The sequence below is a fragment of the Homo sapiens genome, chromosome 5 (assembly GCF_000001405.40).
Source record: "Homo sapiens chromosome 5, GRCh38.p14 Primary Assembly".
In the NCBI taxonomy this organism is placed as follows: domain Eukaryota; kingdom Metazoa; phylum Chordata; class Mammalia; order Primates; family Hominidae; genus Homo; species Homo sapiens.
The window spans coordinates 95,248,019-95,273,035 of record NC_000005.10 but is presented as its reverse complement, the minus strand read 5'-3'; the positions used below and the strand labels follow the sequence as shown (position 1 = coordinate 95,273,035).

General features: G+C 38.4%; 1 protein-coding gene and 1 long non-coding RNA gene across 21 annotated transcripts in view; one reads left to right on the top strand and one right to left on the bottom strand.

Annotated features, from left to right (window-relative positions):
• MCTP1 (multiple C2 and transmembrane domain containing 1) overlaps positions 1-25,017 on the top strand; it is a 581,405-nt gene that overhangs the window by 12,059 nt on the left and 544,329 nt on the right. The gene's annotated exons all lie outside the window — the stretch shown is intronic.
• The window catches only part of LOC105379085 (uncharacterized), a 121,023-nt gene continuing 109,445 nt past the window's right edge, over positions 13,440-25,017 (bottom strand). For both annotated transcript variants that reach the window (XR_948575.3, XR_948576.3), the window contains 2 exons: positions 17,177-17,332; positions 13,440-14,001 (listed from right to left, as the gene is read on the bottom strand). This is a non-coding gene — a long non-coding RNA (uncharacterized LOC105379085). The remainder of the gene's footprint in view (positions 14,002-17,176; positions 17,333-25,017) is intronic.

Genomic DNA, 25,017 nt, shown 5'->3' with positions numbered 1-25,017 from the left:
GAGAGCAGACGTGGGCTGCACCTTCTCTTTTCTTCTTTGTTTTCCTCTACTTCTAAAGAAAGCTTCAGGTGAGGAACAGTAATGGGGTTTGGCTGTGATTGTGACTTTGCCCAGTCCTGTCTGACCTTGTATACACACCAGTTCAACTCAATAGCATTTCAAGTGGAAAAAAAACTTGACCATTTGGGTCATCCCCTCAGCCTCTCTCTGCTCCCTTTGGCCCACTATGCAGCAAAATGTTCTACACTCAGGCTGGTGCTTTTGTGATTTCCTTGCTTTCTCTGTGGGAATCAGCAGAATAAGACAGAAGGGAATAGTCAGAGATGGGAGGGAGACCTGCAGTTGGCAGAATTTCTCAGGCCTCATGCTCTCTGCCTCTGGGCTTTTCAAGGAAGATAGAGCATTTTAGAGTGTATTTATACCTATTATTTATCTGACATTTTCACTTTCCTTGACTTCAACTTTTTCCTGCTGAGCATTTGCCAGGAATGAGGAAGAACAATATGGAATTTGCCATGAGAGGATCTTTGTATAACTTGGATGACTTGGATAACTTTGTATAACTTGGATGACTTGGATAACTTGGATGATTAGCCTATGGAACTGTGTTGTGGGACTATCCAGGTGGTATATTATTTAGGTCTTGGCTCTTCCTTCTCTGCCCTCTGGCTTACCTTTCAGCTATAATGTCAGTTTTCTTTCTTTGCTTGGAAAGTGAGCAGGGAAAATAAAGAAAGGACAATCAGGCAATTTTTTTATTAGTAGCTTTTATAATATATTTTTTCATGGCAAAATTTAAATAATTGACTCCTATGATGTTTGTGACATTTTGTGTTGCTTTGACATATGCCTTATACACACGTATGCACACACAGAGAGGATACCTTTACCAGGCATGGTTTATGCACATGCCTACTCTTTCATGCATATCATATTTTTCACTGGAGTCAAAGATAACCAGAAGAATGCCAATATTCTTCCACTTCTAAATTTAATCATCCACTTTAATAGTAATAAAGTAATAGTATTACATTTAAATGATGAAATAATTTTTACAAATGGCTTTAGTTTATCTAGTCTGAATAGATGTACGAAAACTAGTTCAGCAAAAGAGAAAATTATAAAACAATTGGAAGACGGCATTTGTGGTTAGTAAACCACTATGGTATGTGTTCTACAAAGGAAATGAATAATCTTACTTTGAATTTAAAATATTTTATATCTATCTATCTATCTATATAGCTATATATGGAGTGCCATATATAAAAATATATATAATGTTTTGTAATTAATTATAACATATGTAAAATCTATAATATATAAGGAATGCCTTTTCTTCAGTAGAATAATCATTCTCCTGTAAGTGTGTATCATACTTACAGCCACCATGGAAGAGCACTCATTGAATTAGTCCCTTAATCCTTTCAACCCCAGATGTCACAATAACTAATATCAATCATTAGTGTTTTCAAGCATGGCCTGACTTAACTCTCACAAAATGATCCTTACAGGTAAAAAATAGGGATGCATTTTGGTGAGTTTCTCTATTGATATAGTTCATTTTTTTTTTCTAATTTGAGGAAGAGAAATACTTTTAGGATCATAAAAATATATTCTCATAATCACAAGAATCTCATTTTTTGAGATCACCTCAAAATGAGAGCTGGTGAATAACTGAATTAGGAACAAATGGATCTGAGACAGCAGAGCCTTCCTATGTCGTGGGTGGCTGCCTAGTGTAATGTCTTATTTTCTGTTAATGTTGCCATGCTAATGTCTCGCAGTGGCTCTATTTGAAAAACATTTCTTACACTATTTTATTACTTTCTTCATCCTCTTAATTATATCTGGATTATATCCTGAATGGTGTATTTACAAATGCCCATTTCATATTTTAAAATCTATTCTTTTTCTAGGAGCATATATCTGATGTGAGTTTCAGATAATTTCATTTGTATTTGGTACCAGAAATTTGTTGTGTGAGCTGGTTTTGCATACGTGTACATGAAAATATTTATTGTGTTATCTATTGTGGTAGGGCTTGCTCTTTACTACCCTGTCTTTGAATTAGCTTTTGTTAAATCACAATGTGCATTTTTTTTTTGAGAGAGAGAGTCTTGCTCTGTCGCCCAGGCTAGAGTGCAGTGGCACAATCTCGGCTCACTGCAACCTCCACCTCCTGGGTTCAAGCGATTCTCCTGCCTCAGTCTCCCAAGTGGCTGGAACTACAGGTGCCTGCCATCACACCTGGCTACTTTTTATATTTTTAGTAAAGATGGGGTTTCACCATGTTGGCCAGGTTGGTCTCGAACTCCTGACCTCAAGTGATCCACCCACCTCAGCCTCCCAAAGTACTGGGATTACAGGCATGAGTCAATATGCCCGGCCCGCAGTCTATCTTCTAAAGCTGCATTAGGTGAGGTCTGACTTGCTGATGAGTTCCTCCCCAGCCTACCCTGAGCTGGCCTCTCTCTGCTCAGTTGTGCCATCTCGCCTCTGGCCTGAGGCCAACCAACATGTGGAGCTTCTTACCCAGTGCCATTTTAAAATGACACTTCATAACTAATATTAATAATAGCTAAACATATGTAACATTTATTATGTATAAGGCACTATTCTAAGTGTTGTATATATATTAACTGATTTATTTACTGCAACACTTAGGTTGATGTCTTCTGCATTTTACAAATGAGGAAACTGAACCACAGGAGATTAACTGACTTGCCCAAAGTTATACATCTGTATGATGGACCCAGGTCTATGTCACCAGAGTCTGTGCCTTTAAACACTACAGAATAGGCTGCCTGAAGTAGGTTGTGCCTGAGGAACCCAGTTTAGGAAAATATAATCCCAAGTAACTAGCAACTTTTAAATGACAGTTCTACTTAAAAAAAAATTATTCCTTACCAGGCACCCTACTAAATCACCATCATTATTTTTGTTATTGATATTATTATTAGACATATGTTATACGTTAAAAGTCCTATAATTTTTCATTTTCTATATTCTATAGCCTCATCTTATTTCTGTCATTCTGCTTTCTTGTCCCCTGAAAGGCATAGTTTTAGGGGAAATAAACGAAATATATCTATCTCTTAGGCATTCTATGTACAGCATCTCAAAGAAACATTTATAGATTATGTACATTGTCTCACTTAAACCTCACAGCAGTTTTGACAAAGAGATAGTGTTAGTTGCATTTTATGTATGGGAAATTCTTAGAGAGGCTAAGTAACTTTTCGGCAGTCCTGGTTTTGTCCATAGTTAGTAAGTGGCAAAGCTAGATATTGACAGACATCTGATTGCTACCAAGGCCATAATTTCCAGGCTACCCACTGCTTCACCATTAGTGAGGCCACATCACCACGCCAGTGCTAAATACATGCTTGGTACCCAAACCCATGATTTGTGATTGAGTCTGACTGTCCCTTATCACCAGCCTTGCTGATAGGTCTTTCCATTGTTTTGGAGAGAAGGCTAGAGGAAGGTGCCACCATTAGTTGAAGAAAAGTTTCCAGTGAATGAGAGTGGGTTAGTTTGTTTATTTGCAGGCTCAGTTTTGAGACCTCATAAGTGAATATTTTCAGATCTTTCTTCTTGTGAGTTCTATACATGTATCATGACTTCAAATCATGTTGTTAAACTCCTCTGAAAAATAATGCTATACATTCCATATTTAGTCTAGGAGTTATGATCTTTGGACAGGAAAACAAATTCTTTTCTGAACATCTAGTTGTTTTGTAAAGATGTCCATTTGGGGTATATTCCTTTAACAAGGAGAAAGCAAGGTGTGAGATAATGTCTTCTGAATTTGGCACAACTTCTAATGTTTCTTAATAATAATAATACCAGCATGGAAATCTTAGTCTTACGTCAGTTGCTGTCTTAATTGATTTGCAGACATTACTTCATTTAATCTTTGTGACAACAGTAAAGCAGTGGGAATTCTTAGCCTCATTTTATAGATAAATCAGTGGAGGCTTAGAAAAAATGAGGACATTTCTCAAGGTCACAAAGCTGGTAAACAGCAGAGCTCAGAACTGGCTCCAAAACTCAAGAGTCTAACTGCTATGTTATAGGTGGCTTTCTTCAATATTGAAAAGCTGCTAGGTCTGCTTGCCGGGTCCAACCCACAGACCCTGACCCAGCGATGGATGAAAGACATACACTGACACAGGTATTTTGCCTCTCAGTGCAGCTAAGGGGCTCTGCTGTCTGAGTCCGCAGCTTTGGCCCCAATAAGCTGGTGAAGTTCACATTTATTTAGGACAGATTAAATGACAAAGGTCTCCAGTAAACACCACTAAAGGGTGATTAACGTTGCCGACCTCCCTAGTAGAGAGCAGTCATGTGCCCACAGATGATCACAGGTTGTTGGTCTTAGGACCACATGAGTAAGCTATTTAGATAAACTCCTCTACATTCCTGTGTATCTATACCCCAAGCTTTTAAGAGAATTCAGCTGCCTTCAGCCAAATCTTTTACTGAAGCTATGCAAACCTCCTGGCCTTCCAAGAAGGTTCGTGTCTATTTCCTATAACTTTATCTTTATAATTACTCCCACCACCTTGATCGATCCCCTACATCTGCTCATGAGTATTGTCTTGTAGCTGTTTTCCAGATGTCTTGGAATGGGGAGAATATTCAGTTAAAATGTTCTATATAATAAACCAACCCCAAATATGTATGTGTAGCTGGAAGATCTCCTTCCAATTAAGTACCAACGATTTTAGTAACCATCTTTCTCTTTCTCCCTTCCTCAAATATTTATGAAATATCTATGTTGTGGTAGACATAGTATCTTGTTAATACCTTGATAATAAGACAGTTCCTGCTCACATAGAGCTTACGATCTTATAGAAGAAACATCCATTACATTAAAAAATATGCAAATTGTTACCAATTACAATTGTGATAACTGAATCAGAGGAGTACAGAGAATTGTAGGAATGAATTGTATGATAAGAAGTCCCAACCCAATCTTGAGAGAGGGAGGATCAGATCAGGTTTCCCTGAAGAAGCATTTAGGATCGAATGAAAATAACTAATAGGAGTTGGTCAGATTTCTTCAGGGTGGAGGGAAGGCAGGGATGTGGCAGACAGTTCTGGGCAGAAGGAACCACAGCAGGAAGCACTTAGAGGAAGATTGCCTGGGCAGTGGGGATTTGGTGATTAAGAGGGAAGGTGTGTGTGTGTTGGGGGAGATGGGTCTGGGATTAGTGGCAGGGACCAGATTATGCAGAACCTTGCAGATCTTGGGGAGATTTTGGACTTTAGCAAGGACTGAAGCAATTTTGAGAACCCAGATGCTCAGCCTTGAAGGGAAGAACCATCTTCAGGAGACTTCATGTCCTTGGTCTGGGAATAGCTTTCCTTTGCTTCTATGTGTGGAACCACATTGTACTCACAAAGTTGTCTTGTAAAGAGATAGGGAAGTAGGTTGGAGCTATGTTTTCCTTATTAGGATATGACATTTTAAAAATGTCGACAAAAATAGAAATACCTAGAGGATGAAAGTGTCTTTCCCCCTGGAAAAACATGCCATTTCATTGCTTTTTTATTGAGTACTATTGGAAAGTAAATGAAGGCAAGAAATGCAATCTGATGTCTCATTATCAGTGCTCAGGGGAGAGATTTCTCCTAGACAGCACATTTCCGAGCCTAGGTAGAGATGAAAATTAGATAAAGCTCAGTGATCCAGATGTTACAACTGTAAATTATAAAAAAATACATTTTCAGGAGATTTAAACTTCTTTCCTGAAGTTAGGGTGGGAAAAAAATGAAAAACTTTGGAGAGGGTTCTATAAGGAGGTGTACATTTAAAAATGTGTATTGTTTGTTAACATAATCATGGGTTAATTAGGAAGACTTTCCGTTGAACAGATCTAAAGCATGGTAAAGGGGATTTAATTTGTTCATATTTTCCTGTATATTTTCTCAGACATAAAATCTAAATTTTATATTTCCATGTATAGCCAATATTCATATTTATGAAACAGATTTGCAGCAATGTTCTCAAGCAAGAAGGAAAAGTTAAAGTGTGTTAAAGCTCACCATTACATTTGTTATACAATGTTATAGGAGGGAAAAGAAGGCAATGTCAAAATATTTCATGGAGACTGTAGTCTGTCACACAATCAAAATTGAAGTGGCGACATAAGCCAGCCTACTTGCTATTCTGAGAACGCTCAGGGTATGGATTCTAGCACATCTAGCAAATATGAGTGATCAGAAATTGTACCAAGCCCTGCCCGACTGAGGTTTGCCAATCTCTGCTTTGACCTCCCCAGCCAGCTACTACAATGACCAATATGAACATGGACTGCTTTAAGCATCCAACCATTACTGCCATCTGGACTAGGAAATAGCATCTAGTAAAAATTTTCATGACAGAAGCCATGCCCAAGTCTAAAGGGTATCAAGAACCTATGTATTCTTTTATCTGCTATTATGGAAAAATGTGATGTAGTCTTTCTGTTGTTCTTCATGTAGTATTTTACTGGAGTCATGACCAAGTAAACATTATACTATTCAAACAGTAAACAGATTTAAACAGTAATTCTCGTTCTATTTGGGTATCATAAACCCTTTTCAGAAACTAACAAAGGTTGTGGTATTTTCCCCATAGAAATGTACACAAAACCAGAATTGTGCATTCTTCCTCAAGGAAGGAAACTCATGACTTTCAATCCATGGACTCCAGAACCCTCAGTTAATACCCTTGGGTAAAAGGAAGACTCAGTAACAATTCTTATGAAAATTAGATGGCTCCATTAGCATTATAAAAGTTAAAACTTGAGTCTCTGAAATTTCAACCATGGCCTGCATATTTATTTATCCTAGAACCTTGCAGGGCACTTGGATTGATTTTTAGGAGGAAAAATCTGTAGACTGGCCTCCTAACAGTAGGTCTAGATATGCCCAGAAATAAAAAGGAAGCTGTAGCCTGCAGCATTTACCAAAGAGACCAGGGTGTGAGGGGAACCCAAATTTGGAGTTTCTTGCTAATATGGGGTTCTGTTTCCTAGAAGTTGATTTCTGTTTCCTTCTTATGCATTCTTATATGAGACTCTTCTTTGGGTCTGGGCCTTTCAGAAGCGAGATTCCTTTGCCAGAGACTGAGATATCTAATAGAAGCTCTCTCTGATTATCCTCCTCAGTTGTCAACATTTGCTGACTGCCGCCTACACACATAAGGAATTGAAAATCTGTTCTAGATTCTGGGAACCCAATACTCCTGCACTCCAGAGATTTTTTCTCTTAGATGGGGAGGTAGCATATATATGTAAAAGATAAATGTCACTACCAGGTAGCACAGACATTCCACTTTTAAGTAAATAAAACCATGGGAATCCCTGTGTCTTGGGAGATAAATACAGAGGCTTAATGACCTCATTTGCGACAACTGCTTGAACAATTGGTCTGGTTTGCACCAGCAGTAGTGTACTCTCAGCTCTCTGTTCACTTCTTCTCATTGATTTCATGGCCATCTTATAAATGTGCTGGGAAATGTAGAAGCCTGCAGTCTGAAATCACCGTGAAGAAAGAGCTTTGTTAGAGGGCAGTTCTCAAACCTGAGAGGTGGTGGATGATTCAGAAGGATATGGATCTGTGCTTGTGCACTCTGGGCTTTGATAAATGGAAGCACAAACGATTGCTTCCTTTAAAATAAGCCAACCACAGGCCTAACTTATAGCTCCTTGCCTGGAAGCCCGATTCTCTGCTTGGGGCAGCAGCCTATGAAAAGGAAGCTGGGTAGAGCTGAGGGTGGAATGTGAACACCTCTTGGACTGAAGCTTGTTGTACAGAAGGCCAAGGAGACTGAGCTGCTGCTGGGGCTGACTCCTCATGTCCTGCCAGCTGGGCCATGCTTGGGAGCTAAAAAGGCACACAGTAGTTCCCCACATGATACTGGGAACATTTGAGGAGTGGTGGGTAGGAACGGAGATGTCTAATAGGATGGATGGAGTAGAGCCCAGGCACCAGGGACGGGCTGTTCATGAGCCTTTCATTGCAAGATACAGGAGCTCAACTCTTCCTGGATTAGGCTTCAAAGGAGAGTGTATTGGTCACACCTGAAAAGACCCAGAGCAGGCTGGATCCAGGCCTCAGTCATCAGGTCTCTGTCTTTACCCCACCACCCCCTGCCACCTTTCTTTCTTTCCTTCTCCCAGAATTGCTTCGCTTTGGACATCTCTCTCAGGCAGACTCTCTACTGGTGGCTGTCAGCATCTCTAGGCACACATCCTCCTCACAGCTGTGCCTGCCTGTGGGAAAGACCATGCTTGGCAGTGAGTGACATTGGGAGTGATTTGGACCCTCACTCTGTCCACTGTGGCCAGGGGGTGCTTTGGACAGGTCATGTGTGTCTTTTGGAACCCAGAAGTGAGGGGCATTCAATCCAAACACTGTGGGCTGAGAGTGGGAGAGAGGTGGGTCTTTAAAGGCAAATCAAATTGCTGTGGGCAGGCAGATATTTCCAGTGCCCGCGTGGGGTTTGGTCAATAAGCAGCAGTGGGGAAGATGAATAATCAGCCATCCAGAAAATCTATCTATGAGCTGCTGGACTCAGCTGCTGGTCTGAAGCACTGCCTTGGAGAGGGAGACTGTTTTTCTGTGTTTTTAATATAAAACGAGCATAGAGTATGGAATTTTAAAGTGTATATCAACTAGGTTTTTAATGCTTTTCTTCCTGAATGGATTTTAGTATTTGAAAAGCCATGCTAATGAGATGACTAGTTTTAAAGTTAGCTATGGTACAAATAACAGCACCTGAGTTAACCTAAAGGCTATCACATTGATGAAGTCCTAGAATTTTAGCAAAGAACTTAGAAAACATACTTTAGAGAGGTAGATACTGACGCTCAAGGGATAAATCCACTTACCATCCTCTTTTCCTCCTTTCAGAGCCTAGAATATAAGCAGTTCCTGATCCACACTCCACTTGCAAGCAGCTTCATTATACAAATATGCTTTAGTAGTGTTTACCCATTGCTGCCTCAGCTTCTTTTACTGTCCCTGTCATCACACTTTGCAAGAAGATGGTTTTTTAAGGGGATCTGTGGTTTCAATACAAAGGAAGAGAAGAAACAGTGCAAGGGAAGAATGGCCTAGGAGAGTTGCCTGCCCCTGGGTGGAGACTGGACTGGTTGACTTTGCCCATGGGGAAGAGAGGTGGAGGCAGACTGTCTTCCAGAGCTTGAGTAAGTCTTAACCTCTCTAAACCTCACATTTCTTTTCTGTAAATCTGGGGGAATAACATACCAACCTGATGGTGCTGTTAGGAGGGTACAATGAAAGTTCCTGGCACATGGCAATGCTCAATACACATTCTTTATTCTCCTCCACTCCATCACTTCTGATAGTCGTTCATCTCCACTTTTGAGGCAGCAGGTATCTTTAAAAGTTATACTGGTGTCTCTTGGAGCCTTCAGGAATGACCATTTATACTTTAGCATGAATTAACTCAGCTAGGTTCTTGCCTTCTAATTTCTGGATAGAACATTGTAAATTTTGAGCAGTGGGCGTGGGTGAGAGTGATTTAGCTCAATCTGTAGAATTTGTGGCAGCAACCTGGGCCTGGATGGGTGCCACAGGACTTAGTATGGGGGAGGTGACAAGAGGCTGGAAACTAGTGGAGCTTTGAATGGAGGTGCATGGGAAGGGAGGCATGAGATGCTAACTACAGACTTGCTTTGATCCATAGCTTGGCTGAAGAATGGCTCTGGGTCTGGCAAGGGAATGGGAAACTGCCCTGTTCTCCTCTGCCACCGTCCTGTCCCTCATGATTTCTTGCTCTCAGAACTTGGGCTGGAGCTGCTAGAAGTACATTAGGAGGTCTCATCTGGAAACCAACTCCCATTAGTGACATTGCTTCTCTGGGCAAATGAAGCCAGTAAACATAGCTTCCTAGTGAACTCTGGACCTTCCCCAGTTCAGGAAGCCAGAGACTGCTTGCACTGCATAGATAATGTTTTCATAAGGCTTAGCCTTCGTACACTTGCACAATTTTTCTGTCACATCTTAAAATGGAAGGTCTAAGCAGGAGTCACTTGTAGTCACTCCCTTTGCTTCATATATGCTTTGCACATAGTAAATGCCCCATAATGCGAAATCAAATTGAATAACAAATATATGATTTGTCTACTGATTGAAAAAAGCTTTTAATTTTTAATGTAGTATATAGAATAATTAGGGATAGATGACATTGTTTGACATAAATGAACTTTATTTTTTATTTTTTTAATATTTATTGAAGAGTTTTGATATTTTGTTAAAGTAATATCTCGAGGGGCTAATTAGCCACAATTTTTTGAGTTTTTAGGTTTTTAAATTAAGCTACTTTGTAATCCTGCTGAGAATTTCCCACATTGCTACAATTATGTTTACAAGGAATTTATTTTTCAAGGTTAAATAGAGATAATCACTTTCTCAAATAGAGATATTCTAACTTGATTTCTAATCTTCTAAGCACACAGCCCTCCATGCAGTCCTGTCTCAGATTTTAGTTCTGAGAACTGATTTGGGCATCTTTATCTCATTATTGGTCCTTTTATATTATTTTTATGTCTGATTTCCTCACATTTCCTAAAAATGGGTGTAATGCTTAAGAATAATGATGCTTTTGGTATCCTTTTAAGGTGTTTACAGAGTGTTTACCTTATGGGAGTTACTGTGCTTGGAGCCATGGGTAGAAGGTGCTGGCTTGGTTAGCCATTTCACGCTTGAAATGAACTATGTGCTCTTAGAAATCACCTGTGATCCTGTGATCAAAAAAATGTGTCTGTGGATTGTAGGATTGATTTTCAAGAGTTAGATTCCCTTAATTTCAGCTCGACTCATGAAGGTAAATGAACAGGCAAAGAGTTAGTGAAGGCTGACCTGTCTCTGCCCAGATCCCATCATCTCGAGATGGGCCCATACTCTGGCTGCTGGGACATGGACTGTGATGGCTTCACAGCTGTGCCCCTACTAGGCATTGCCGTTGGCCTCAGGACACAGCCTCTCCCAAAGTAATGTCCCTCCAAGTGGCCAGTGGCTGGTTGATGGGGGGCTATAAAGGCCCAGCCCTCTTGCCTCTATGTGGGGAAACTCTGCAGTCCCAGCCCCAGAGCTCCCTGTAGGACTGAAGGAGGCCTCATTTGAAACCACATTGTGGGTTAACTTCTCCTTCTGTCCAATCTTGATTCCTTACTTCCTCATGGGTGTATCTCCCAGGGCAGCCCAATCCACCCCCAATAAATTGGCTAGATGTACATCTCCATTGCAGAGAACATTTACAAGAACTCCGTCTGATTGACATCATTGTTGAATTTCTTGAAGAGATCTGTAAATTTTAGGAAGAAACAATCAGATGTCATAGAAACAGTGGCAACAAATTTTGAAGGGCTTGGTGACAGATGAACATTTTGAAGCAATCAGGGGAAGTTTTGCTGGTAGGGTTACACCCAGGCTTAAAATAACATTTATGGAAGGATGAAGAAACACAGATGTCCCAGAGAAGATGAGCGTTAGGTGGCACCAGAGTGCAACAAAATTAAATGGAGATTGCAAGTACTACAAAAAATCATTTATTACAGAAAAGAAATTAGATTTTTAAATAAGCATTTCAAAAAATCACCAAATGCTAATGTGGGAGGAATCTTTTTTTTCAGCTACAGAATCACACTGTAGCCGGGAGATTCAAGTGCTGCAGAAAATTATTATAAAGCGCCCACTGCATACTATTCATATATGTACTGCTTCATTGCAAGGATCAGGAAATGGTCTTCAGCTGTGAAGACCATTTGGTGTTTATTATGGATCAGAGTACAAGGTCTCAAAGTGGTTAAATGGCTTTCCAACAGTTTATTTGTCTGATGGATAGCAGTTACTCAGATATTTATTGAATGGATGCAGAAATCAATGAATAGGGCTGGGAACAAATTTCGGATATTTTCCTTACTATCTAGAGGAATAGAATCTACCTCGGAAAAGTTTCACAGTCTAATGGGACTTCAGCTTCTTTGGGTTAGCTACTGTGCATAATATGTGTTATTTTAACTTTTTAAAAAGGTAGAATGAACTTCCAGCAATCTATTGCAAGGTTGTAATCAAAGAATTGAACCAAAAATATATTTAGAATTGTTTATCACTCCATTACTTTTAATAGAAAAATTGGAAATTGCTCACATTTCCAATAATAGAGGAATGCTTAAGTAATTACAGTAAACCCTCTGGGTTATTACCTGGTCATTTGTTCTGTGCTGGAAACGTGCGAGGGGAGAAGAAAAGACACACACACAGCACCTTTAAGGGTAGACAGCCTTTATCCCAAGTATATGGCAATATAGATATAATAAGCAAATGATATAATAAGCAAATGATATAAGCAAAAGCAAATTGCAATGGGAAGGGGAGAAGGGAAAAGATATATATATACACACACATATACATATATGTGTATACATATATATATTTACACTCACCAGACTATGGAGGATTCACCATCAGACCAGGAATCAATAGCCTGGGCTCCAGAGTCGGCCACTCATCCATGCACAGACGAGGAGAGGTCTCACGATGCTTTTGCGCAGTCTGGAACCCTAACTCTTTTTGTAATGAGTTGTTTGGCATGATTTCCAGTCACGAGAACCCTTTGTGACTGGGCTCAAGGAACACAAAAAGGTCAACTTGTTTTTGCAATTGTCTATTTTTTTAAATAACTAACATATAGGAATAGACTGAAATAGAGATTTCTCCGAATCAGCACTGGATGAGCGCCTCAAGGGGCTCACACAACCTGTTCTGGGACTTGGTGACCATCGTTTGTGTCATGTTCAATTGAGTTCAAATTTAATATTTAACTTTTCCTCCACACTCAGCCTCAATTTGATACTCAATTGTAGAAAAATACCCTTACAGATACATGGGGAAGGCATAGTTGATACAGATTACAGATACAGGATAAGCACAGGAGAATTAAAAGCACAATTAATAAAAACCACACCCACCATGGCTTTTCAAGGAGAGTGATATTGTGAGAATTATCAGGGATATACACATAACATTCAGTATGCAGTCAGGCACAAACCCCTCCTTGGGCTGCGGTAAGCATATCTAATGCCATTCGATTTTGTAACACAACAGTACACAGCTGAGCAAATTCATTTGATAGCAACATAAGTCCAATGCTACTATCATTAAGAGCTTCTTCTACATGTAAGCTTAATATTTTAATTTTTTGCTGAAGCAGGATTGTACCGGTGGCAGGGGAGAATACTGTGATAGGGTACCACCACCAGGGAGTCCAGATTACTGGGGAGGGGAATATTATCCTGGATGGTGAATGGAATTAATGGCCACCTCTAAGTGCATCTCCCCATCCAATGTGGGGGCAGGTATTGCCACTCGTAGGATCTGCATACCCACAGGGCCCCCACCAGGGTACAGCAATGGTTTTTTTGTAATTATAGTGTATTAAGGTGTTATTAAAGCAGGAAAGAGATTGTGTTTCACTGGGGACAATGTTGTTGATTTCGAGTATGTGTTGACAGTTGTCTGGCAGGAGAAACCCCAGAGTAACATTAGAGGAGCCATTTAAGGCCTCCAGACAAAGTGGGGGGCTATATGGAATCTGGCCACCAGCACAGCAGTTTCCCAATATATACTGTTCCAGGCATATTGGGCAGGATACCAAAGCTTTTGACACAAGGCAAGGGTGGTGTTCACCTTTCGTCTGACATGGGCAAAGATAGATTTCTTCCTTTGGTCAAAGGAAGTCCAGGTTGGGTTGCAAGTGTTGTTGTTGTGGCCCCATTGGTAGTGACATAGCCATTCAGAAATGTTGGCAGGGATGATTCTCCAAGGTAGTCCATTTCCTGTGGCCTCTGGCAACTTGACGCGTAGTCAACATTGACTGTGGTTGGCTTCTTCTGCTGTAGTGGCTACCCAGTTGATGAATTTATTCTTGGCCTCAGACACAAAGACACAGGTGCTGATCATTAGTAGATAGGTTATTCCCTGTAATAACAAAAATGGAGGAGAACATGATATTGTTTTTAATCTTTAGGAAATTGTACTATGCCTTCATTTTCTGCTCCCATAGCTACAAGGTCACCAGCCTTAGGGGCGGGATCTGATGGACACTCTACCCATATTTTGGCTCCAGGATTTAAGCTACCTGTACCAGTGGATCTGAATCCCCCAGTTCTGTATGTAGCCTCTGTTGGGACAGAGATTTCCTCAGGGGTTAATTGTTGACAAGGTATCACTACCAATTGAGCATCATTTAAAAATGTTTTCAAAATATTTTGATAAGCATTTTTAATGAACTTTTATTTAGAACAGTTTTATATTTAAAGAAAAATCGCAAATATAGGGCAGAGAGTTCCCATGTACTTTGTACCTAGTTTCCCCTGTTATTAGTAGCTTACATGACTGTAGTACATTTGTTACAATTAACGAACCAACATGGATTCATTATTATTAACTTAAAGTCCATACTTTATTAAGGTCTCGTTAGTTTTTACCTAATGTTTCAGTATCCTATCTAAGATACTATATTACATTTAGTTATGTCTCCTTAAGCTCCTGTTGGCTGTGACAGTTTCTCAAACTTTTCTTGTTTTTGATGACCTTGATAGGTTTGAGGAGTACTGGTCAGATATTTTGTAGAATGTTTCTCAGTTGGGATTTATCTGATGTTTTTCTCACGATTAGACTGGAGTCATGGGTTTTTGGGAGGAAACCCCAAAGGGAAAGTGCCATTCTCATCACATCACATTGAGGGTACGTACTATCAACATGACTTATCACTGTTAATGTTGACCTTGATTGCTTGGCTGAGGTAGCATTTGTCAGGTTTCTCCACTGTAAAGTTATTCAGCACTTTACCTGCCCTCACCCCACCCCATTTTCCATACTGTAGTCTTTGGAGGGAAGTCACTGTGCACAGCTTATCCTTAAAAGGTGAAAAGTTAAGTCCCACCTCTTTGAAGGTTGAGTATTTACATAAATTATTTGGAATTCAGCACAGAGTTGTCTATTCTCTCCCATTATTTATTCAATCATATATTTATATCAGTGTGGACTAATGGATATTTATTTTATACTTTGGATTATAACCCAATATTACTGTATTTATTTCTTTGCTCAGATTGTTCTGGCACAGGCCATTGGGAACGCTTTCATTTCGACCCAGTGCCCCTTTGATATACTCCCGTCTGTGTGTGTGTGTGTGTGTGTGTGTGTGTGTGTGTATGTTTTCTGGAGCACTTCCTTCCTTCTTTACGGTCCCATTAGACTGTCCAGGCTCTTCTTATATATTTCCTGCTCTAGTCTTAGAAATAGCCATGTTTTCAAGGATTCCTGTTTTCTTTTACTTGAGAATAGTATTAGATGACAAGATCTGGGCACTAAGTGTGCTCATTGCTATTGGGAAGCATTTTTAATGGCATAGAACAATGTTCATTATAATCTGAGGTTTTAAAAACACAAAATTGGACAAACTGTGATATGAATTGTATGTGTATATAATCTATGAATATAAGTTCATTGAAAGATTAAAAAAACAATGTAGGCATTCATTTATCAAAGAGTTGTGGGATTTTTTAAAAATAGTTTTCTGTTGTCTTCAAATTCTAGATCATGAATTATATACCTTATAATTAGAAAAAATAGCAAGTGGTTTTTTTAACATTAAAATTATTTTTTAAAAAGTAAAATGAGACAGATCTTGTTAATTTTACTCATCTCCTCAGACTATATTTTTAGTACTCATGAAGTGCCTGTATCCCACAAGCTCTCATCATATACACAAGGAATTGAGCCAGAAACTGTTGTCAACATCTGTTTTGAGGAGAGTTTGAGGACAGTAATGTAATGATGGAAATTTCCTGGCAAACCACAATATTGTTAAATGTCCTTACCAGTATTGAAATTATGTAAGAACATTATTATTTCTTATGCCAGAGTTTCCTAAATTCCAGCCATTCATAGTTTTGGCCACATGTGTCCAACACCTGCACAAGATTTATTTAATAGTTTCTCTAATTTGATTTAAAAAAAGTTAAATATGTATTTCAGAAAAACTCTGTCACTACTCTAAGTAAAAATCCCATGTCATGAATAGAATGTAAACATAAAATACATTGGAACAAGACAGTGTCATTAAAGTTAAAACAATAAAGTGAAGGGCATCCTGATGAAAAGTCAACATGTAAATGTGCCCTAAAATGTCCTACTTGGTTTTGGATCCTGCTTTACCACCTCGTCTTGCTTTCTCTTACTCCCTGCAACTAAGCCAGGTCTCTTTCCTCTCTCTCTTTTTTTTAGCTGCATTTCTGAAAAGTTTATTAGGCAGAGTCTAGTCAGAAAAACATAATTCTGAATATTTAAAACAGAGAGAATATAATATAGGGAATTGGTTACACAGCTGTGGAAGAGCTAAGAAGCCAAAAAGGGACTTCTAGGCAACCCAGGGTTTGGCAACAGCAGGACGTCACTATTACCCCTAGGCTGGAGGAACAGAGGATGCAATGTAGTTAGGAGTCCAGCTGTCAGGGTCACCCAATGAAGTAGGTACCAAGTACTCTGACTTTTCCCTTCCAGCTCTCCTCCCATGGCTGAGCCCAGTTGGATGCTTGCTGACAGAGAGCCAGCAGTCTGAGATGGGTAAGGAGAGGACAAGGATTGGGTTTGCCAGCAGACATCTGCCAAGCAGCACAGGGAGTGGGCCATGCCCCGCTTCCAGGTAGGGGAAAACTTTCTTCCAGCACCTCCTCAGGATACTTTCTTAATACCTGCCAGAAAAGAAACCTCCATTTATTTTCCTTCCTTATTCTTTTTTTCATTTTCTCCCTTCTTTGCTCCTTTGCTCTCATTCTTCTTTTCTTTCTTTTCTGAGAAATACCAAAGAGTAAATCAAGGAAGAAAGCAAAGGAGGAAATAATGTAAGATGCATCAAGCTAGGGTTCTCCCCGTTTAAATTCCACATGGCAGAACTTGGTGTGGATTTTTACCAACGGTTTCATGAAGTATGATATTTAGCCCTTTATTTGAGAGCATTCGATGCTTCTGTTTAGGCATGAATGCCTCGAGCTACAGACGAACACTTCCGTTGTGCTTGTTTATGACCGAACTTCTGCCTGGTGCAGTGCTGGGATGCACTGATTGCTTAGGTAGGGCAGTGACTTACTGATTTCTCTGGAAGAATCCCTGAGAAGTTCTGGGGCCCAATCCTTAAAGGCAGGATGCAGTTAGATGCTTGATTGGGGATTAGCTTATGTCTTTAATTCCTGGTTCTCTGACACTCTGCTTCTCAAGTAATATCTGACTTTTGTTCTCTATATTCCTGTTTAAAATAAGAAATATGAATCACCATCTTCTGATTTTATATTTTCTAAGAAAAGGGTTAACATCAGCCCTTCTCAGTTGTTCTCAGTGTATCTTTCCAGCTTCAGGCTTCAGTACCTGTAACCTTCGCCTATTCATAGGGGTAGGTGTGGGATCAGTGCACCAGGGGTACCATCCTGGCTTTGCAGTGCCACTCAGTTTATTCTCTTCTTGTTCTAAGTAGAAAGCTTTTTGTTTGGTTTCCTTCCCTGCTGTAGTATATGATTGGGAAATGAAAGAATGAATTCTAAAAATGCCTGCTACTCTCTTCTTTAAAGTATCCAAATTCTATCAATTCTTTAAAATGTAGGTAAATTCTAATTTCTTAAACTGTCTATTTCCATTTATCCATCATTTATTGAAAACAGGCTGTGTGTCAGGCACTGTGCTAGTGCTGGGTATACAAATATTAGTAAGACAGGGTTGCTTCTCTTGAGGAGTTTGCATATAGAGAAAGATGTTTGTTCATCTTTGGAAAGATCTTTACAGAAACAAGAGCTTCTAACCCATAAACTCCTGCAACCCTTATCAATTTGGAATAGAACAGTGGCTTTCAGATTTTTATGACCATACTCAAATGAAGGCATACATTTTATATCAGATTCTGTACACACATATACATACACACATGTACAAGAAAACCCTGAAAGTTTTGAGAAATTTACTAATGATGCATATTTTCCATTCCATTTAAAAAAATTAAGTTGCTGGTTTTGACTCATTTTATTGATTTCATGACTCACTAATGGGTTGTATCCCACAATTTGAAAAGAGTGATATCAATAGAATTTGTAATTGTTATACAAATTAGTATAACAATGCTTCCAGAATCTAATTGTCTTGGCCAAATCACAGAACTGGTGAGTGGAAGTGTCAGAACAGGTTTTTACATCCGGAAGTTCTCTCTTCTGCCTCTAGTATATCTATATAGTACATAGAGAGGATTAACTTGGCAATTAATATGTGTAGTAGTTTTTGAAATATTTATTTTATTGTCTTAACCTTTTATTTTGAGCATCTTAACATAGTATCCATGTCTACATTTCATTATAGCTCCCATATGGCTCAACATAATGACATATAGAAGAGGGTCAATGTTAATTTTGAGATTAAGTACTGAAAGGCATCATATGTAGATCATTAGAAAAGACGGAATGCCTTATTAACTGTTAAGCTTGTGGGTAAGATGTAGGTTCTGGAGCCAGGCTGCCTGGGCTAGAATTTTGCTTCATCACATTATTGCTGTGTGACCTTAGTTAGATAGGGTATTTATTCACGGTGTTCCTGAGTTTTCTCATCTGGAAATTGGGATAATTACACTAATTGTCTCATAGGGGTACTGTGAAAATTAAATGCATGTAAAACCCTTAGAACCAGTGGTTGGTACGTAGGGAGCCCTCAAATGTTAGCCGTAACAAATGTTAGCTGTTTTAATTATCCCTATCAATATAATCATTGTTTCTGGCTGACTTTATAGATAGCTTATAGAAGAAAACATTGTCAGTGAAAAATTCCAGATCTTAAGTATAAGTTTGAGAGAAATACAAGAGGGAAGGGAAGTATTTGAAGCTCTGTTAGTTCATTATGAATGAATGCTTCTGTAGTTTGTGGTTTGGAAGACTAAGATATTGACATTTTTATTGACTAAATTTTTAGCAGTGATAAAAGTTGCTTGACTTGAGTTTTTAAAATCTAGGAATTTATTGCTGGCTGAATAAAAAGTTAATATGATAATAGGTATTTTGTGACCCAGGCTACAGTATATTTACCAATCCTGAAAATTGCAAATATACAAGAGCAGTATACTGTCTGCTACTAGAATACTGGATTATGCTTTCAAAAATAGCAAACTTGCAATCTCCTTTCCTCCCACACTCGTTCCCACCACTAGGATTCATATGTAATGAAATGAAACATCTTATCAGAAACTTTAATAATCTTGTCTTTTTATATTAGTTTGGATTTGCATATTTATTGTTTTCTTACTTACATATGTACCTATACATTTATTTTATTCTAAAGATGTGTTCTTTAGTTATAAATGGTTGTAAGTCAATTTGGGTCTCTCTTTAGTCACTCTTTTCATACATTTTCATCGGGAAAGAGCAAAGACAAAGATTCACTGTGGAAGGTTAATATAAGGGGGTACATAATATAGCTGTGTGTACTGTGTTTGCAGTACATTGTTTAATTGTGTCTTAATTAATTTTCTATTAAATGTAAACTAGTGTATGTCATGTGTTATATACCTTCTTCTTGTTTTGAATGGAATTATTAAACTTCTTGTAATCAGAGATCAAATTATACCAGGTAGATGGTTGTCCCACCCCCTGGCAGTGTTCTTACAGAGTATGTGGGTAAAAATTCTTGTACGGTTATGAATAAAAGGGATATTTTAGAAATGAAGTTTTGTTTCTAAAAAGGATGGTAATTTTCATGCACATAAAACTAAGAAAATCCACCTTATGTGTTCTCACCTCCATTTTATCCTCTTGCATATTCTGCTAGTGGCCATGTAAACTGCTGTACTTATTGTATTAGTTGCTGATTTTCATTTTCCAACATACCAAGTACTCTTTCCTTGAATGATTTATGTTAGACAGCATTGGCTCATGGCAACAGACAGTTTTAGAAAATCATCATCTGGAATGTATATAAAATGATCTTGTTTGTCAGTCTACCTAGGTTGTTAATGTCAAATTAGATGGGCAAATTGCCAAATTATTGTTAGAATTGAGCTATATTTGCTACAGTGCTTAATCCTTGGGAATTAAATCAGTTCCATTGACAGTATGGGGCCAAATATATATGATTTTAGCTTGCTCTGCCCTATCTAGATACTTTTTTTGTCAAAGCAAAGACAGAAAAAATGAGAATTAAGAATATGACTCTACACATTCTTAATAGGAAAATTAGGGAAAATAGGAATGAGTGCCTAAGAAATAAAAAAATAGGGAAAAATAGGAATGGAGCGCCTAAGAAATAGAAATGTTAAAGTGTGAAAGTAGATCCTAGACCCAGACTGTGTAGGTTCAGATCTCAGCTCTGCTACTTATTTAAGGGCAAATACAAATTAAAAATTGGAGGCTTAATTCTTCTTCTTAAAAATAAGGGAAAAGATTTCTACCCCTTCCCTTTTCTTAGAGCATTTACTTTAGAAAACTTGTAATTGCACATTCTTTATCTCTTTGAAATCTATATACATCTTTTTAAAAACTAAATAAGGCTCTGGTGAGTTCTGTGACCCAGGAATGTCTTTCTCAAGGATCAGAGAACAGAGAACCATCTTTTTGAAATGCAATCAAGGAAGATAGTGCCCCTATCTTCCAGTTTTTGTGGGAGGGTAGCAGCCTAACTTCAGTGGGGGATTCTTAGTTCCTAAATTACCTTCTGTCATAGAGATAGGAGAAGTTAATTTTTCCTTTGGGTAAAGCCAATTAGTAACACACATGGTCACCCCAATACCAGGCTAATTTAGGATGAACTGTGCATGACAAATGGTGCTGTCAAGTCCCCTTCCTTGAGGACTAGTCATTGTTTATCTTGAGAACATGTATGTATGGGTTGTATCTGCTTGGCTATATAAATATAAAAAGGGTACGATTTCTTTCTGTCTTTGTAATCTCTTAGCAGATTGCCTGTGATGTATGATATTCTGCTTTGATGCTTATTCAATAATAAAATTGTATTCTTTCTCTTCTACCTTTGTGGAGAAGTTTTCTGGGTTGGGAAAAGATTTTGTTTTTAATTATATGCACTCAACACTTACTAGATATGTGATTTGGGGTAAGTTTCTGAATCTCTTTGCACCTCAGTTTCCTTATCTATTAATTGTGGATAATAGTATCTATTATTACTGTTGTTTATAGAATTATTGTGAGGATTGGATGACTAAATATACATAAACTGCTTAGAACAGAGCCAGGTACTATAATAGTAAGCACCATATATTACTTATTATTACTATAAGAGAAATTTTGCTTGTTTTAAATTCTGGTTCCTTCTCAACTACAGTGTATTCCCAGGGATATTTCAAGAGCAAACATAAATAATATTAATATAGGGAATCCCCTAGCAAGATAAGAAATCTCAACTTAAACTCCACCATCCACATGTATTTATGGAGTTACTTTCCCTAAATTTGAGAAACGTGTTTAAAAAAATTACTCTTCTAGTGAGTAATTCTTTCTTAATTTCTTTCATTCTTTCATAATGACTCATGAAATCCAAATCTGTACCATGCTATGAGTACCTGCATGATCTGGCCTCTGCCTCCTTCTTCAACCTGAACCTCTTGACTATTCTCGTCCCTCCCACCTTCTATGAGAAGTAGGCATACTGACATTCTTTAGGTTCCTCTAATGGTCAAGCTTGTTCTCACTTCAGGGTCTTTGCGCTTGCTTTCCCTTCTGCTTGCAAAGTGCTTATTTCAGATATTTGATTGCTGGCCCCTTTCTATTGCCAGGTGGGAGATAAAGTAACCCCTTCTCATAGAAGCTTCTCCTAAACCTCACCAGCCGCCCATGCTCTTTCTTGCTTCTGCTGTTTTATAGCACTTGTCTCTGTCCGAAATTCTCGTCTGTGTTTGCTAAATCTGTGTTTACCAAAAGTAAGTTTCATGAGAGCATGGGCTTTCTTTGCTAAATCTCTGCTTCCTAGTTCAGTGCCTGGAGCATAATAACATCTCAATAAGGATGCATGAATTAGTGAGTGAATAAAATAAGCTATTCTTATCAACTAGTCCTTGACTGATTTAACAGATATTTGTTGAGTAGCTCATATACTACATACTGAGGAGATTCAGCATTTTCCATGTAAGCCTACCTATTAGTAGTGTTAAGACATATTTATGCACTTTAAAAATATAATAATAAAGCTATAAGGAAAAAGTAGAAAATGAAAATATCATTAAAGAGGAAAGCATTTTTGTGCTAAGTATTGTTCTAGGCATTTCACATAAGTTATTCTGTTTAAATTGTACTCAAGAACGCTTCCATTTTTATATCATTGTATTCATTTTTATAGAGGAGAAAAAGAAATCCAAAAGTTAAATAACTGGCTTACAGTTGCCCAGCTAGGATGTGGATGGACCAAAATTCAAACTTATATCAGCCTGACTCTAAATCTTATTTTCTTTGCATTATACTAAACATAAAAACCGTCTCCTCTCCTCTGTCAAAAACTGTGAAGGGTCTGAAATGTTATTATACTTGCAAGCTAACCAGTTAGCCACCACAGTTTCATGTATACTGACACACAACACGAAGTTCCTGGATTAGAAACAAAGGACTTTATGATTCCTGACATAACAATAATATGAGCTTCACATTCATGTTCATTCCCTCAGCCCCCAAGTCCCATGGGGCGATGCAGAGTGGCTCAGGTAGTTGCTGTACATCTGAATCACACAGAAAACTTGAGCTTAGGGAACTCAACATTTCGTAACAGGCTACAAATAAATGTGCCCTTTGCTTATCTTCATTATTTTTATTTTATTATTTTTTTATTATACTTTTAAGTTCTAGGGTACATGTGCACAACGTGCAGGTTTGTTACTTAGGTAAACATGTGCCATGTTGGTTTGCTGTACCCATCAACTCGTCATTTACATTAGGTATTTCTCTTAATGCTATCCCTCTCCCAGGCCCCCACTCTCCCACAGGCCCTGGTGTGTGATGTTCCCCGCCCTGTGTCCATGTGTTCTTGTTGTTCAACTCCCACGTATGAGTGAGAGCATGCGGTGCTTGCTTTTCTGTCCTTGTGATAGTTTGCTTAGATTGATGGTTTCTAGCTTCATCCATGTCCCTGCAAAGGATATGAACTCATCCTTTTTTATGGCTGCATAGTATCCCATGATGTATATGTGCCACATTTTCTTAATCCAGTCTATCACTGATGGACATATGGGATCATTCCGAGTCTTTGCTATTGTGAATAGTGTCACAGTAAACATACGTGTGCAAGAGTCTTTATAGTAGCATGAGTTATAATCCTTTGGGTATATACCCAGTAATGTGATCGCTGGGTCAAATGGTATTTCCAGTTCTAGATCCTTGAGGAATTGCCACACTGTCTTCCACAATGGTTGAACTAATTTACACTCCCACCGACAGTGAAAAGCGTTCCTATTTCTCCACATCCTCTCCATCATCTGTTGCTTCCTGAATTTTTAATGATCGCCATTCTAACTGGCGTGAGATGGTATCTCATTTTGGTTTTGATTTGCATTTCTCTGATGACCAGTGATGATGAGCATTTTTTCATATGTTTTTTGGCCACATAAATGTCTTCTTTTGAGAAGTATCTGTTCATATCTTTCACCCACTTTCTGATGGGGTTTTTTTTAATTGTAAATTTGTTTAAGTTCTTTGTAGATTCTGAATATTAGCCCTTTGTCAGATGGGTAGATTGCAAAGATTTTCTCCCATTCTGTAGGTTGCCTGTTCACTCTGATGATAGTTTCTTTTGCTGTTCAGAAGCTCTTTAGTTTAATTAGATCCCATTTGTCTATTTTGGCTTTTGTTGCCATTGCTTTTGGTATTTTAGTCATGAAGTCTTTACTCATGCCTATGTCCTGAATGGTATTGCCTAGGTTTTCTTCTAGGGTTTTTATGGTGTTAGGTCTTACATTTAAGTCTTTAATCCATCTTGAGTTAATTTTTGTATACGGTGTAAGGAAGGGGTCCAGTTTCAGCTTTCTACCTATGGTTAGCCAGTTTTCCCAGCACCATTTATTAAACAGGGAATCCTTCCTCCATTGCTTGTTTTTGTCAGATTTGTCAAAGCTTAGATGGTTGTAGATGTTATTTCTGAGGCCTCTGTTCTGTTCCATTGGTCTATATATCTGTTTTGGTACCATACCATCCTGTTTTGGTTACTGTAGCCTTGTAGTATAGTTTGAAGTCAGGTAGCGTGATGCCTCCAGCTTTGTTCTTTTTGCTTAGGATTGTCTTGGTTATGTGGGCTCTTTTTTGGTTCCATCTGAATTTTAAAGTAGTTTTTTCCAATTCTGTGAAGAAAGTCAGAGGTAGCTTGTTGGGGATAGCATTGAATCTATAAATTACCTTGGGCATTCTGGCCATTTTTACGATATTGATTCTTCCTATCCATGAGCATGGAATGTTCCTCCATTTGCTTGTGTCCTCTTTTATTTCATTGAGCAGTGGTTTGTAGTTCTCCTTAAAGAGATCCTTCACATCCTGTGTAACTTGGATTCCTAGGTATTTTATTCTCTTTGTAGTAATTGTGAATAGGAGTTCACTCATGATTTGGCTCTCTGTCTATTATTGGTGTATAGGAATGCTTGTGATTTTTGCACATTGATTTTGTATCCTGAGACTTTGCTGAAGTTGCTTATCAGCTTAAGGAGATTTTGGGCTGAGACGATGGGGTTTTCTAAATATATGATTATGTCATCTGCAAACAGAGACAATTTGACTTCCTCTTTTCCTAGTCGAATACCCTTTATTTCTTTCTCTTGCCTGATTGCCCTGGCCAGAACTTCCAATACTATGTTGAATAGGAGTGGTGAGAAAGGGCATCCTTGTCTTGTGCCAGTTTTCAAAGGGAATGCTTCCAGCTTTTGCCCATTCAGTATAATATTGGCTGTAGTTTTGTCATAAATAGCTCTTATTATTTTGAGAT